The 14,075-nt window shown below is 38.4% G+C and overlaps 1 protein-coding gene across 7 annotated transcripts in view; it reads right to left on the bottom strand.

The window, feature by feature from the left end:
• Window positions 1-14,075, bottom strand: part of HMG20A (high mobility group 20A) — a 99,163-nt gene that overhangs the window by 55,407 nt on the left and 29,681 nt on the right. For all 7 annotated transcript variants that reach the window (XR_001751049.3, XM_011521158.4, XM_047432109.1 and 4 more), the window contains 2 exons: window positions 6,148-6,240; window positions 257-404 (listed from right to left, as the gene is read on the bottom strand). Coding sequence is in view for 5 of the 7 variants with exons in the window: in XM_011521158.4 (XP_011519460.1) it covers window positions 257-404; window positions 6,148-6,236 (237 nt within the window). In the remaining 2 variants the exon portion in view is untranslated. The remainder of the gene's footprint in view (window positions 1-256; window positions 405-6,147; window positions 6,241-14,075) is intronic.

Here is a 14,075-nt window from a genome sequence, read left to right as displayed (position 1 = left end):
ACAAGTATTTGTTCAACATCTAATATGAGGTAAGTATACATTTCTTAGGGAACAGGGAAAAAAGAGTCTACCTGTCTATGTCATTAAAATTATTAATATGGTTCCGTATAAAACAAGAAATAGAAAACAAAATTTTGCAGGTATCAGCCTAAGAATATAAGAAGGTCATATGAACACCTTGATCAACACACCTTCCTTGTGACTGCTTCTTCAGAAGTTTCAGAGGATAGGAACAGAAGGAGATACTTCAGCTTACCTCATCTTCATGCCTCTGTTCATTGCCTTCTGCTGCATTTGAAGACTCACTCTGAAGCAACTGACCTTGAGAGAGATCCTCCACAAATTCTGGATTGTTGGTGGATGATGTGGCGCCACTACTGTATGGAACCTCTGGGTGATTTAACCTGAATAATAGGCAGAAGTATCAACAACACAAAAACTCCACCTATTTACTAAGGTTCTAGATAAATTTCCCTGCCAGCAAAAGCACATGCCAGTCCTTGAATTAATTCCCCCAATAATCTGTATAAATGTAAACAACGTATTCACAGACGTTACAGGGCGTTTTAAAAAAACTGGTTTCAGTGCTTGATTAAACCAGGTCAGTTCCATGAAGACATCTCCTACCAAAAACAACTATAATCTTCTTCCAAAAAGATGATCTCCTCTCAACACAGACTTCATGTTTTAGCTCTGAATATGCAGTAGAATCTGACTTTTACATGCTACCTTTCATGTATCTCCAATGTAAAGGGAAAACACTATTAATGAAAAAAGTGAATAGCAATGGGAGTTGTAGAGGCAGTTTGCCAACTATCACAAAAGAGGTCTTAAAGGGTGTAAGAAAAATCTCTTAACGGTACATTTCATTGGCTATTTCTTCTTGGATTATAGCGTTTAGTGACAATCAGATCATCTAAGAACAATACTATCAAGTTAAGTAAGTTCAGGTATACATGTTAATAAATCAGACAGATGTACTTACTTCCTGCTCCCACTATACTATTCCAGATGAGTTAGCAAACCAGATTTCACCCTTCTGAAGAGTGAACACAAGAAGGTACAGATAATGGTAGGGTCTTAGATGGACTTATCTTATTACATGTGGACGAAGGAATAGAAGGAAAGGTAACACCATGTGCTAGTGAGTATTTTTGTTTTTGTTTTTGATCGAGGGAGGAGTTGGGAAGTCAAGAGCGGTAGAAAGATGGATAATAGAGTAATATTCAGTCATTATTCTGAAAGAATGCACAACCCATAGTATTATAGGGAATAATTACAATGCAACGTAAGTACTAAAATAATGGCTTGTTAAAAGTACCATAGAGGTATGGTAGAGGGTATGATGAATTTTATATGTATGGAGGGATGTTAAGAAAGAATTTATAGAGGAGGTCCTAAAAGATGAGTACGTATTCATCAAGGTAAACAACACGATTCCAGATAGAAAGAACTTGGTATAAAAGGAGAAAGGGAGACTATCAAGAGGTTACTGTAATAGATTAAGTGAGACACAAAGGCAGGCAGGATTCTGAGCAGAAGGACAGTTAAGAGATACTTAAGAGGCAGAATGGCTAGGTGTGGTGCCTCACGCCTGTAATCCCAGCACTTTGGGAGGCCAAGGCAGGTGGATCACTTGAGGTCAGGAGTTCAAAGCCAGCCTGGCCAACATGGTGAAACCCCGTCTCTACTAAAAATAAAAAAATTAGCTGGCCATGATGGCAGTGCCTGTAATCCTAGCTACTCAGAAGGCTGAGGCAGGAGAACCGCTTGAACCTGGGAAGGGGAGGTTGCAGTGAACTAAGATCATGCCACTGCACTCCAACCTGGGTGACAGAGTAAGACTCAGTCTCAAAAAAAAAAAAAAAAAAGAAAAAGAAAAAGAAAAAGAAAAAAGAGGTAGAATGGAGAGAACTTAATGACTGATTGACTTTAATAGTGAAAGAAAGGAAGAGTCAAAGATAATTCTGAGGTTTCCAATTGATGATTATGTACTTAATATTAATCAAAGTAAAAACAGGGTGTGTGTGTGTGTGTGTGTGTGGACAGACACACAAGAAAATGATAAATTTGAAACACCTGTAGCATAATTAAGTAGAAATGTACCACAGACAACTGGAAACATGCCCCAGGAGAACAGAAGTGGAACAAAAGGGCATAAAGATAGACTCGAGAAGCATTAGCCCATGGAAATAATGGGCAGTGCTAGATATTCTCCAGAAAGACAGTGAGAAGAAGGAAAAGTCAGGATAGAACTCAGCTGAAGCAATATCATTGTATGAGCAAGGTAGAAAAACTAGGAAAGGAGACTGAGAAGGGCATTAAGATAACTGGAGAGAAGACGATTGCAGAGGCCAAGGCAGGAAGACTTTTGAGAAGGGTAGTGGCTAATCAAGTAAAAAGTTGCAGATGTTAAATAAGATAGGCCAAAAAGTGTCTGCTAAATTTGAAGACCTGAAGGTCACTGGCAATTTTAGTTAAGTATAGTTTTAGTGGAATTATGAGAATAAATTCCAGATTACAGTGGACCGAGAAATGGATGAAAACAGGAAGCAGACTGTCCTGGGACTGAAAGAAATTAAACTTTTCTGACCCTTTCTAGGAAACATAATAGATGATTTTAGCAGGAGGTTCCTACATTTTTGAGGTCCTTTAAAAAAGAGTAAGTAAAAGAAGCTATGAAATCAATGCCAATCATTTTCTCTGAAAAGAGGTACCATCGAGATCCAGTTTGATCTCTGCAGTGCTGTTTTCCAAATATTTCAATCATTTTAGATGTGTTAGGCAACTTGTTCTTTCACTGTCATTTTCATTTCAACTGTGCCATCAATTTTTAAGTTACTAATTCTTGTAAATTCTTATTTTGGTAAAATATGAGAACTAGGTTTGGGAAAGAGTAGCAATCCTATGAATCCCTGACTTCAGTGGACAGGAATCACTTGGGAATTCACATGGGAATTCACAATCCCATGAATCCCTGACTTAAGTGGACAGGAATGGCCAAAGGCATCACATGCCTTCTTGATGACAAGTTGGATGAAGACTGGAAAAAAGGGGGATCTTTTGTTACCATGAATAAATTATCCATGTTCCTAGCTAAAGCCCACAACCCTTCTATTTGCACCCTTGATCTCACACCCTCTTGCCTACTCAGGGGCAGATTTTCAGCAATTCTGTCCTTTCTGGCAATACCAATTCTTTTCTCTCTACAGGATCAGTCCAATCAGCATATACGTATGATATTAATTCTCTTAACACAAAACAAAATGAAAAGAAAAAAACTCCATCCCACTTCCAGTTAAGGTCCCAATTTTTCTCCTTTCCTTTATAGCACAACCCCTGGAAATAACTTGTTTATACTTATTGACTTCTCCTCCCTTAAGTCCACTTCAAAGGAGATATGTGCTTATAACTCTTGTCAAAGCCACCAATGACACCCATGCTAAATCCAGTGTCATTTCTCAGCCCCCATCTTACCTGATGTACCAGAAGCATCTGACACAGTTGATCTTTTCCCCTCCCTTGAAATACTTTTTTTTTTTCACTTGGGTTCTAGGACCCTTCACTCTTCTGGCTTTTCTGCGACCTTTCTAGCAACTCACTTTAGACTCTGTTGATTCTTCCTATTCTTTCTGACTTTTTTTTCTTTTTCTTTTTTTGAGATGGAGCTTGCTCTGTCACCCAGGCTGGAGTGCAGTGGCACGATCACAGCTCACTGCAACTTCCGCCACCTGGGTTCAAGCAATTTTCCTGCCTCAACCTCCCGAGTAGTTGAGATTACAGGCACGTGCCACCACACCTGACTGATTTTTGTATTTTTAGTAGAGACAGGGTTTCACCATGTTGGCCAGGCTGGTCTTGAACTCCTGACCTCAAGTGATCCACCCACCTCAGTCTACCAAAGTGCTGGGATTACAGGTTGTGAGCCACTGCACCCGGCCTCTGTCTGACTTTTAAATGATGGAGTATCCCAGAGGTCAGGCTTTAGAGCTCTTCTTTCTTCCATCTACAGAGTGCTCATTTCTTTGGTGATCTCATTCAGTCTCACGGCTTTGAATGTTATATGCTGATAAGTCCCAACTTTCTCTGTCTCGCCTAAACTTCCCCTAATAGCAGAACCTGATATCAAAGTGCCTATTTGACATCTCCACTTAGATATCTAATAAGCATCTTTAATGTAAAATTTCCAAAACTGAGCTCCTACAATTCCCTCCCACACTTGTTCAGTTTTCCCCATCTAAGCTAATGGCAACTCCATCCCTCCAGTTGCTTTGGCCAAAACTTTTGAGTTGCCTTTGACTGCTTTTTTTCTCCCTTCTTACATTGTGCTCATCCTTTCTTTCAGGCAAATTCTGTTTGGTATACCTTCAAATATATCTAGAATTCTATACTTCTCACTACCCCTCATTCCCATTATCTTTGAAACACACTCCAATGAGGTTTTTACCCCCACTATTCCACCAAAAACACTCTTGTGAAAGTCACCAGATGATGGTTCTTCAGGCTATCATCTGTCTCCTGAATTATTTTAAGAGCCTCCCTAACTGGTCTCCTTGTTCCAGCCCCTGCTCCCTTCACTCTATTCTCAATACAACAGTCAGAGGGATCTTATAAAACCGTAAGTCAGATCATATAATTCTGTGTGAAACCCTCCAATGTTATCCCACTTCAGAGTAAAAGTTAAAGGGTTTATTTTGATCTCTAAATATTTTGATCCCTATGATCTAGTCTCTTCTTACCCAAAGTATGGGCCTCATACCAGCAGAACTGGCATTCTCTGGGAGCTTGTTAGAAATGTAGAATCTCTGGTCCTAAGATTTTCTAAATCAGAATCTGCATTTTCATCAGCTCTCTTGGCAATTCATATGTTTGAGAAGGACTGATGTAGTCCTCTACTGCCTCTCCTGCTGCTATGTGCTGCTCTAGTCACACTGTCCTCCTGGCTATTTCGATAAGATGGAAACTCTCCTGCCTCAGGGCTTTTGCACCTACTGCTCCCTCTGTCTAGGATAATCTTCCCCAGAAAACTGCATGCCAGTTGCCTTATTTCCTTCAGGTCTTTATTGAAGTCACTTTCTCATTAAACACTTTCTGGCCCATCCTGTCTAAAACTGCATCCCCAAACCCTTCCTATCCCTTTTCTCCACTTTTTTCTTTTTTTAAACTATAGTTCTTATCAACATAGTATATGTTTTGCTTATTTATCCTGTTTATTGTCTGACTCAACAAGTAGAATTTGAACTTTAAAAGGCCTATGATTTTTATCTATTTTGATCAATGCTTTCTATCTAATGCCTGGAACAATGACACATAGCAGATACTCAGAAAGTTTTTACTGAATGAATATAGTAACTAAGCAGCCTTTAGAAAAGTCTTGGAGAACACTTTCATCTGAGTAGTGAGGTCAAAGGCGGATATCAACGAGGTGAGACATAAATGTGAGGGAAGGAAACAGAATTACAAAGTATAGCCTATTTTTTAAACAGCTCTAAAGAATATTAAAATAATTCATCTTAGGGATTAGCTAGCACTTCAGTCTATTAGTGAACACACTTTCTCTTTGCCAAATAACTTCTAAACATCTAGAAAAGATAAAAATTCAAGTGGAACAGAGATTTTCAAGGGAAGAGGTGGACTACTGTTATTAACCCTTTTCTATATCTCTTTAAATATTTGTCAAAAGATCCCACAGAAAGGAGAAGGGGGTGGGATGGGGAAAGGAACAGAAGTCAGCTAAAGTTACTAAGCATCTTGAATAAAGAACCACATTAAAAAATCTGATCTTTGGGAAAAAACTATTTTAATATCTGTGGTAATTTGAACAGAAAAAATGCATTTGTTTTTTAGAGCTAGCTCTGTGGCAGGTATTTCCTTAATGGTGACTATATAATTTTCTTAACTGGAGTCACCAGTGTTTGCTAGATTCCACATATTGTTGTACCAGTTCACAAAAACCAGAGCACTGCAAAAGATAATTGAATGCAGATTACAAAGTGGTTTATGATGGCTGTCACTCTCTTTGCAAAGTGAAACAAGTGCACCGTCTATTCTTATGATATAAAACTGCCTCTTTAGGACCTCTTACTTTGCTAGAAGCTTTGTTTTGAGGCCTATGGAGAAGTCCAGTGTCCTAAAGCAGCTGCTTACCCAGTGGTAGCCAGATCATTACTCTCCTTGGAACCGTCTTCATCTGCAAAAAGGGGCGGTAGGGTGGAGCTAGTCATCAAGTTTTCCATCTCTCTGAAAGGAAAAGAGAATAAAAAAAAATTAATGGCTTAATTACTTCCATTTCAAGTTCCACTAATTTAAGAGCCAGCCTTCTTGAACTTTATCATATAAGCAACAGAATAAAAACTGACCTAAATATTTATTTTCTTGACTTGGACACATCAATTTAAACTGTATGGTAAATGGGCCTTTTAACCTTGGTCTTATCAACTGACCAGACTGAAAACAAGTTAGGTTTTAACAAATGGGATGTGGTTTGGAAAATTCCTTTTTATTTATCCAGAGTATCTTCAAAAGTATTCATTTCCTGTAGAAATTGTTAAGCAGGGTAACTCAGAAGCACTGCCACTCTGAGCAAGCTATTTAAGCTCTTTGAGCTACAATTTCACCATCTTAGACTAAGACAAAATTGCTGACTTAACCCAAAGGGTTATTGTGAGAGATTAAAATGAAAGTGCTCCATAAACAGAGAAAATCTAAGGTAGTAAGTGCATTGAGTATTATATAAAGAAAGATATTGTTATTACAGCATTACCAGTTCTCAGTCCCAGATGAATCATCTATAGATTAAATGATGGCAAACTGAGCCCTCCAAAAGGAAATAATGCAAAGGAAGTAGAGGATGGAAGGCATGCTGATGTGGCTCTCAGTCAAAGAAACCACACTTCCAGGTCAGAAATATGCTCCACACACCATCATAACCAAGAGCAGAAATAGCATGCACCTGGGTACAGGAAACAACTAAGCTTAATTGAAGAAAACAAACAAATCACAAGAACTGAGGTTATCAGACTGAAAGGATAAAAGGACAAAGTGACAAAGAGAATAATTTCATTTGGCATATCACTATGAAAAACGATTTTTGCCTTTCAAGGCTTACCACAAAGGGCATCACCCCATGTAGTTAAAAGCAGCAGTCTTCCCTTCATCATGAAAGGGATATTCAAACAAAACATTCAGCAGTGACCCCAAACATCAGCCACTTACACAGAACTGCAAAGCACTCAAGAAAGAGTGCCTCAATCAATTGGGAGAATTGAGAAGCAAATTATGAGAATTCACTTAGGAGCTTCCTCAGGAGTTATTTCAGGCGCTGCTGCTGCTAAGGAGACCTGGTGAAACAGCAATTAAAAGGAAAGCACAGCGGCAAAGCAGAGCCAGGATCACTCCACTGAGGTGGAAATATGAAGAAAATGCCGATGACACGAGGACCACATTCTCCATGTTCAATGGAGTGATTTATTTCCAAAAGATAACACTGATGTTTTATTCCTTATTCTTACTTATTCTCACTTCTAAGTTTATTATTTAGCAGGCCAAGTTCCATAAACAGCTTGATGGGAAAAACACATCTCTGTACAAATATTACCCATTACAGTAGGTAGAGCATGGAAGGTAGAGAGGAACTTCTCACTCAACCATCATAAGCACTTTATTCTACTGCAGGAATGCTTGCAACCTCTTTTCAGTTCCTTCAAGATAAGGTGTTTACAAGTGGAATAGCTCTAATAAATACCACAAAATTCCATTCCACATGTTTTACTGAATAACCCTGACTCAAGTGTACTTAAGTTTTAATTCACATTATACAATACAAAGGCGAGATTAAAGCCTGGGCTGCTAACATCACCTCACACCAATGTCAATGTTCATTTTACCAAAAGAAAACTGTAATATCTGTTAGATACCATACAGACTAACCATAGTGAGCAAACATTCAAATGGCCAGGTATATACCTTAGGGAACTCACTTGACTGGCTTTTTTTTTTTTTTTTTTTTTGACAGTCTCGCTCTGTTGCCCACGCCTCCCAGGTTCAGGTGATTCTTGTGCTTCAGCCTCCCAAGTTGCTGGGATTACAGGTACGTGCCACCACACCAGCTAATTTTTGTATTTTTAGTACAGACGGGGTATCACCATGTTGGCCAGGTTGGTCTTGAACTCCTAGCCTCAAGTGATCCGCCCACTTCGGCCTCCCAAAGTGTTAGGATTACAGGTGTGAGCCACTACGCCTGGGATTGACTGGCTTCTTTCTAAAAGTATCCCTAGAAGTCAATGGCCTTTCAAGAACCTTGAGATTCAGCATTTAAAGCTCCTGGCATTGCTCCCATGCCTCAAAAGAAGATATATTATCTGGTGAGGGACAAATGAAGTGTCTTTTCATCCACTATGCCAACATGACCCTGTTAGAGTGTTTTCCAGATATCTTTAGTCATTTCTGAAACGTGGGGAGGCAGCTGGATAACATAACCTTAACAACATATAAACAGATCATATAAACAAAGGAAGTTCAGAGAACACACATTTTTTCCTTTTTTATTTTCCCTCTCTTAAGTTTGTTGTATTCAAACCCATATGGTTTCAGATATATTTTCTCAGTGTTACTGAGTAGTCAGGTCCCTAAGAAATGAGTAATAAAGTGGGTGGAAGGTTAAGGGGCCAAGATCAACAAAAGAAGGAAATGAAGAAAAGTGCAGTGAAACCCAAAGGCCTCTAAACTAGTCCAGTAAGTCGGAAAATACAATGATTCCCAAGAATATGTCTGGGATCCTGGGAGAATGCATTTCATATGGTCCATGAGGGAGTGATTCAAAAGGAATCACGGCTACCAAGCCACTGATTGCCAAAAGCCCTTCACATGTAGCATCTGTGCCTGATGATGTCCCAGTACAGAGGTCACACTGAACTTTGAAATTTTATGCAAAGCACTTAAGAAATGTAATGAATGCTGCTCTAAATGAGTAAAGAAGAGAAATTTGTTCAAAGGCAAAGCAATATACAAGTTTGGCTCTTCACTGCACTTTATACAAACAGGTCTATCATGCAGATGTTACCTAGTAGAGGGGACTTATCCAGTGAAGGCTTCTACCAGGAAGCCTCACAAAAATGATATTACTTTGCCACTTAGAACACTTTGAACCAGGGTCTGGACCTGAGCTTTGGAAATCCCAAAATTCCCTCTAACACTAACCACTCACTGAAAAAAACCTGACATATAAAAGAGTGCCAATTTAAAATATTTTAATGATGATTATAAAGATTGTAATGAGAATTATATTAAGCGTACTAGATATTTAATGACTAGTGAACACATTTTCTCTCTGTAGTCATCTAGTAGGCCAGATCATAATCAGAACATTGCTATGGTCAATATATGGCCAGAACAAAGGAAATTAGGTGGAACTTAAGAAATGTTCCTCAACTAAGATTGCTCTAGTAATCTTTCCCAATAATAGGGATGATCACACCAATGTGACTATGTTATTCCAAATGTGTTGGACAGTGCTGGAAGCATATTTGTACTTCTGGTTTCTGGGGTTGGCTCTTTTCAAGTGCCCTTTTCTTACTTTACACATGCTAACCCCACTTCCCTAAGTCTTTTCATAGAGATGCAGCATATTCCTTCTGCACCACTCCCTCTCCAACCATACACCTCATAATTGAGAGGTGGGATTCTGCCCATCTCAACCTCATTTTCCATATTACAGCCTTTATGCAAAACCCTTGGTTCCTTTAAAACATCAGGTTCCTTGGTTATATCAACCTCATACCCAAAAATCTCTTACCATCATCTCCTATCATTTCAGCTCTCTTAATTCTCCTATTACAACTCACCTTGAACCATACAAACCTCTATTCATTGGCCCTTGATTTTCCCTTCTCTGTCCAGCTTAGATTCAATGGCTACATTGCAAATGTTCTTTTGCCAATACTCAATTCCCTTGCACTACATCTTTCTATACACTAGAAGTAGATCAACTCTGAGTTTTGGCTTTAGATGGTGGAGGAAAAAAATGACAAAATAAAGAGTATTACTATAAATGTATGGTATCCAATCACAACTGGGCCCTCTATGCTCTTAGTAATCACTTTGTATGTTCTTAGGATATTTCCCAACTGCCATGTTATCTCTGTCAAAGTTTTTCAACCAAACTCACCCAAATCCTCCAACTCAGTCAGCATTATCTTTTCACATTCCTCAACCCCAACTCACGACAAAAAGCATACTAAATTGCTTTTTTTGGAAGATATAATTGATATACCATAAAGTTCACCCCTTTACTACATACAACTCAGTGGTTTTTAATATATTTACAAGGTTGTGCAACCAACACCCTAACCAATTTTAGAACATTTTCATCACCCCAAAAAGAAACACAATATCCTTTAGCAAACAATCCCCATTCTCCCTTCCTGCTAGTCCTCCTAGGCCTGGGCAACCACTAATCTACTTTGTTTTTTTTTTTTTTTTTAAGAGACAGGGTCCTGCTCCGTCACCCAGGCTGGAGTGCAGTGGCATAATCATAGCTCACTGATGCCTCAAACTGCTTGTCTCAAGTGATCTCTCTGCCTCAGCCTCCTGAGTAGCTAGGACCACGCCTGGCTAATTTTTAATTTTTTTTTTTTTTTGTAGAGATAGGGTTTCGCTATGTTGCCCAGGCTGTCTTGAATTCCTAGCCTCAAGCAATCCTCCTGCCTCAGTCTCCCGAACTGTTGGGATAATAGGCGTGAGCCATCATGCCTGCCTACTTTCTGTCTTTATAACTGTACCTATTCTGATATTTCATATAAATAGAATCATACAATATGTGGCCTTTTGTGTCTGGCTACTCTCACTTAGCATAAAGTTTTCAAGGTTCACATTGTAGCGTGTATCAGAATTTCATTCTGCTTTATGGCTGAATAATATTATACTGGATGGCTATTGCACATTTTGTTGATCCACATATCAGTTGATAGACTTGGGTTGTTTCTACTTTTTGGTTATTATGAATGCTGCTGCTTATGAACATTTGTGTATAAATTTTTGTGTGGACATGTTTTCAGTTCTCTTGGGCATATACCTAGGAGTGGAGCTGCTGGAACATCTGGTACCACCATGTTTAATATTTTGAGAAAATCAAACTGTTTTTCAAAGCACCTCTACCATTTTACATTCATACCAGTAACCTATTAGGGTTCCAATTTCTCCATATCCTCAGCACACTTGGTATTATCTTTTTTATTAGAGCCATCCTAGTAGATGTGAAGTGGTATCTCATTGTGATTTTGGTTCATATTTTCCTAATGAGTAATGATGTTAAGCATTTTTTCTTATGCATATTGTGCATTTGTTTATCTGTTTTGGAGAACTGTCTACTCAAATCCTATTTCAAATTGTGTTTTGTATTATTATTATTATTTTTTAGATAGAGTATCATTCTGTTGTCCATGCTGGAGTGCACTGGTGTGATCCTGGCTCACTGCAACCTCTACCTCCTGGGTTCAAGCGATTCTTGTGCTTCAGCCTCCCAAGTAGTAGCTGGGATTACAGGTATGCACCACCATGCCCAGCTAATTTTTGTATTTTTAGTAGAGACAGGGTTTCGCCATGTTGGCCATGCTGGTCTCAAACTCCTGGCCTCAAGAGGTGCCACCCACCTCAGTCTCCCAAAGTGTTGAGATTATAGGCGTGAGCCACCACACTCAGCCTCCTTTGCTCATTTTTAAAATTGGGTTAAAACTGTATTGTTATTGCAAAATTGCAAGAGTTCTTTTTATATTGTAGATACTAGACACTTATCAGATATACTATTTTCAAATGTTTTTCTCCCATTCTCTGGGTTGTCTTTTCACTTTGATAGTGGTCTTTGAAATACAAACGTTTTTAACTTTAAAGTACAAATTATCTTTTTTTTTTCTTTGGTTGCTTGTGCTTTAGGTGTCATATTTAAGAAACTACCGCCTAATCAAAGTTGTGAAGATTTACCCTTATGTGTTCTTCTAAGAGCTTTATAATTTTAGCTCTTAACATTTATGCCTTTGATTCATTCTGAGAAAATGCACCATATTCTCTGACCTCTACATCTCTGCAACTGCCATTTGTTGTCTTTGGTTGGAATACTTCCTAGTACCCCAGTCTCTCTTGTTTGGCCAATTATACTTTCTTATCCTTCACATCTCATCTTAGATGTGTCTTCTTTCAGCATGTGTTCTTGGATCAATCAAGAATGTATCAGATGCCCCTTTTATGTACTACCAGAGCATTCTGTACTAAACACCCATCATAATACTTGACTCACTGTACTACACTTGTCTTTTCTAACCCTTAGTTATATGTTTTGTTAGGTTATAAACAGTGCCTTGTTTACCTTTAAATTTCCCCCAGCCTGGTTTTGAGCATATCATGGGCATTTGTTAAATATGCATTTGATGAGCAAATACAATTATGTATTTCACAGCTTCATCATAATATTGTGGCCAGACTTTGCCTAAAGCCACACCATACCCCTCAACTGAAGGAGGCTCCTCATTCAATTAGTATTTATTTATTGCTCAAGCAAGGCACTTTTGCAGATTATGTGTCTTTTAAATGGATTAACTCTGAAACTGGGGGACACTCAATATATTCTCTAAATGTTTCCTCATATATGCATTCTCCTTTATTATTTGTAAGGAGTGAGACTATCTTCAAACAATAGAGTCAGTGTTCATGTCTACTTTAGTGAACATGGCCGATTGATGTATATTCTGTATTGGAATTTTCAACTTTCCATTCACGTTAGATATTCATGTCTAAGTATTGAATCTTTAACATCAATTTTGCTCAGTGAAGCCTTTCATGGCCTCTGTATATAAAATTGCAGACACCCCCTTTCCTTGAACTGTTCCTAACCTCCTTCCCTGCTCTGTTTTTTTCTTGGTACTTCAAACTATGTATCTTTTTTCATTTTACTTATTTTATCTTGTTTTTTGTCTGTTCCAGTACACTGCGAGCTCAAAATTTGTAGATGCCCACAATTGGCCCTGCAGAACCCATGATTACAAAAAGTCGGCCCTGTATCCATAGGTTCTGTGTCTCTCGAATACTGTATTTTCCACCCCAAACTGATTGAATTTGTGGATGCAGAACCCAAGGATACACAGGGCCAACTATAACTGCAAATTAAAACAATAATGATCTACCACTACAAACCTATTAGAATGGCCAAAATCCCAAACACTGACACCACTAAGTGCTGACAATGATGCGGAGCAACAGGAACTCTCCTTCATTATGTGGGGATACAAAACAGTACAGACATTTCAAAAGACAGGAAGTTTTTTACAAAATTAAACATACTCTTGCCATACAATCCAGCAATCGCACTTCTTACCTTAATATTTACCCAAATGAATGGAAAACTTACGTCCACACAAAAACCTGCACACAGATGTTTATAGTAGCTTTATTCATAATTGCCAAAACTTGGGCATAACCAAGATGTCCTTCAGTAGGTGAGTGGCTGAACTGTGATACATTCAGATAATAGAATATTATTCACTGCTAAAAAGATATGAGTTATGAAGCCATGGAAAGACATGGAGGAAACTTAGTGCATATTACTAAGTGAAAGAAGTCAATCTGAAAAGGCTATATAAATTGAGCATCCCTAATCTGAAAATCAGAAATTCAAAATGCTCCAAAATCTGAAATTTCCTGAGTGCCCACTTGATGACCCAAGAGGAAATTCATACAATAGTGAGCTACCACTACACACCTATTAGAATGCCCTAAATCCCAAACACTGATACCACCAAATGCTGGCAAGGATGTGGAACAAGAACTCTCCTTCATTGTATGAAAATACAAAATACAAAAATTCCACATGGGACTTCACGTAATGGGTCACAATAAAAACACTGGCACACGATAATTAGTTTATTCAACTTGCCATTGTTTGTTGTTAACAGCTGGCACAGGTGCACTGGTGATGCTACTGTACTGCTTACCCCGAACACATTATTTTTTCATTGTATTAATGGTATGTCACATTTTTTACTGTTAAGTACTTATGTGCAAATAAGTGTAAGAGAATGATTCTTATT

This window comes from Homo sapiens, chromosome 15 (genome assembly GCF_000001405.40).
Source record: "Homo sapiens chromosome 15, GRCh38.p14 Primary Assembly".
NCBI classification, from domain to species: domain Eukaryota; kingdom Metazoa; phylum Chordata; class Mammalia; order Primates; family Hominidae; genus Homo; species Homo sapiens.
The sequence above is the reverse complement of the archived record's forward strand: the minus strand, read 5'-3'. Positions and strand labels throughout refer to the sequence as shown.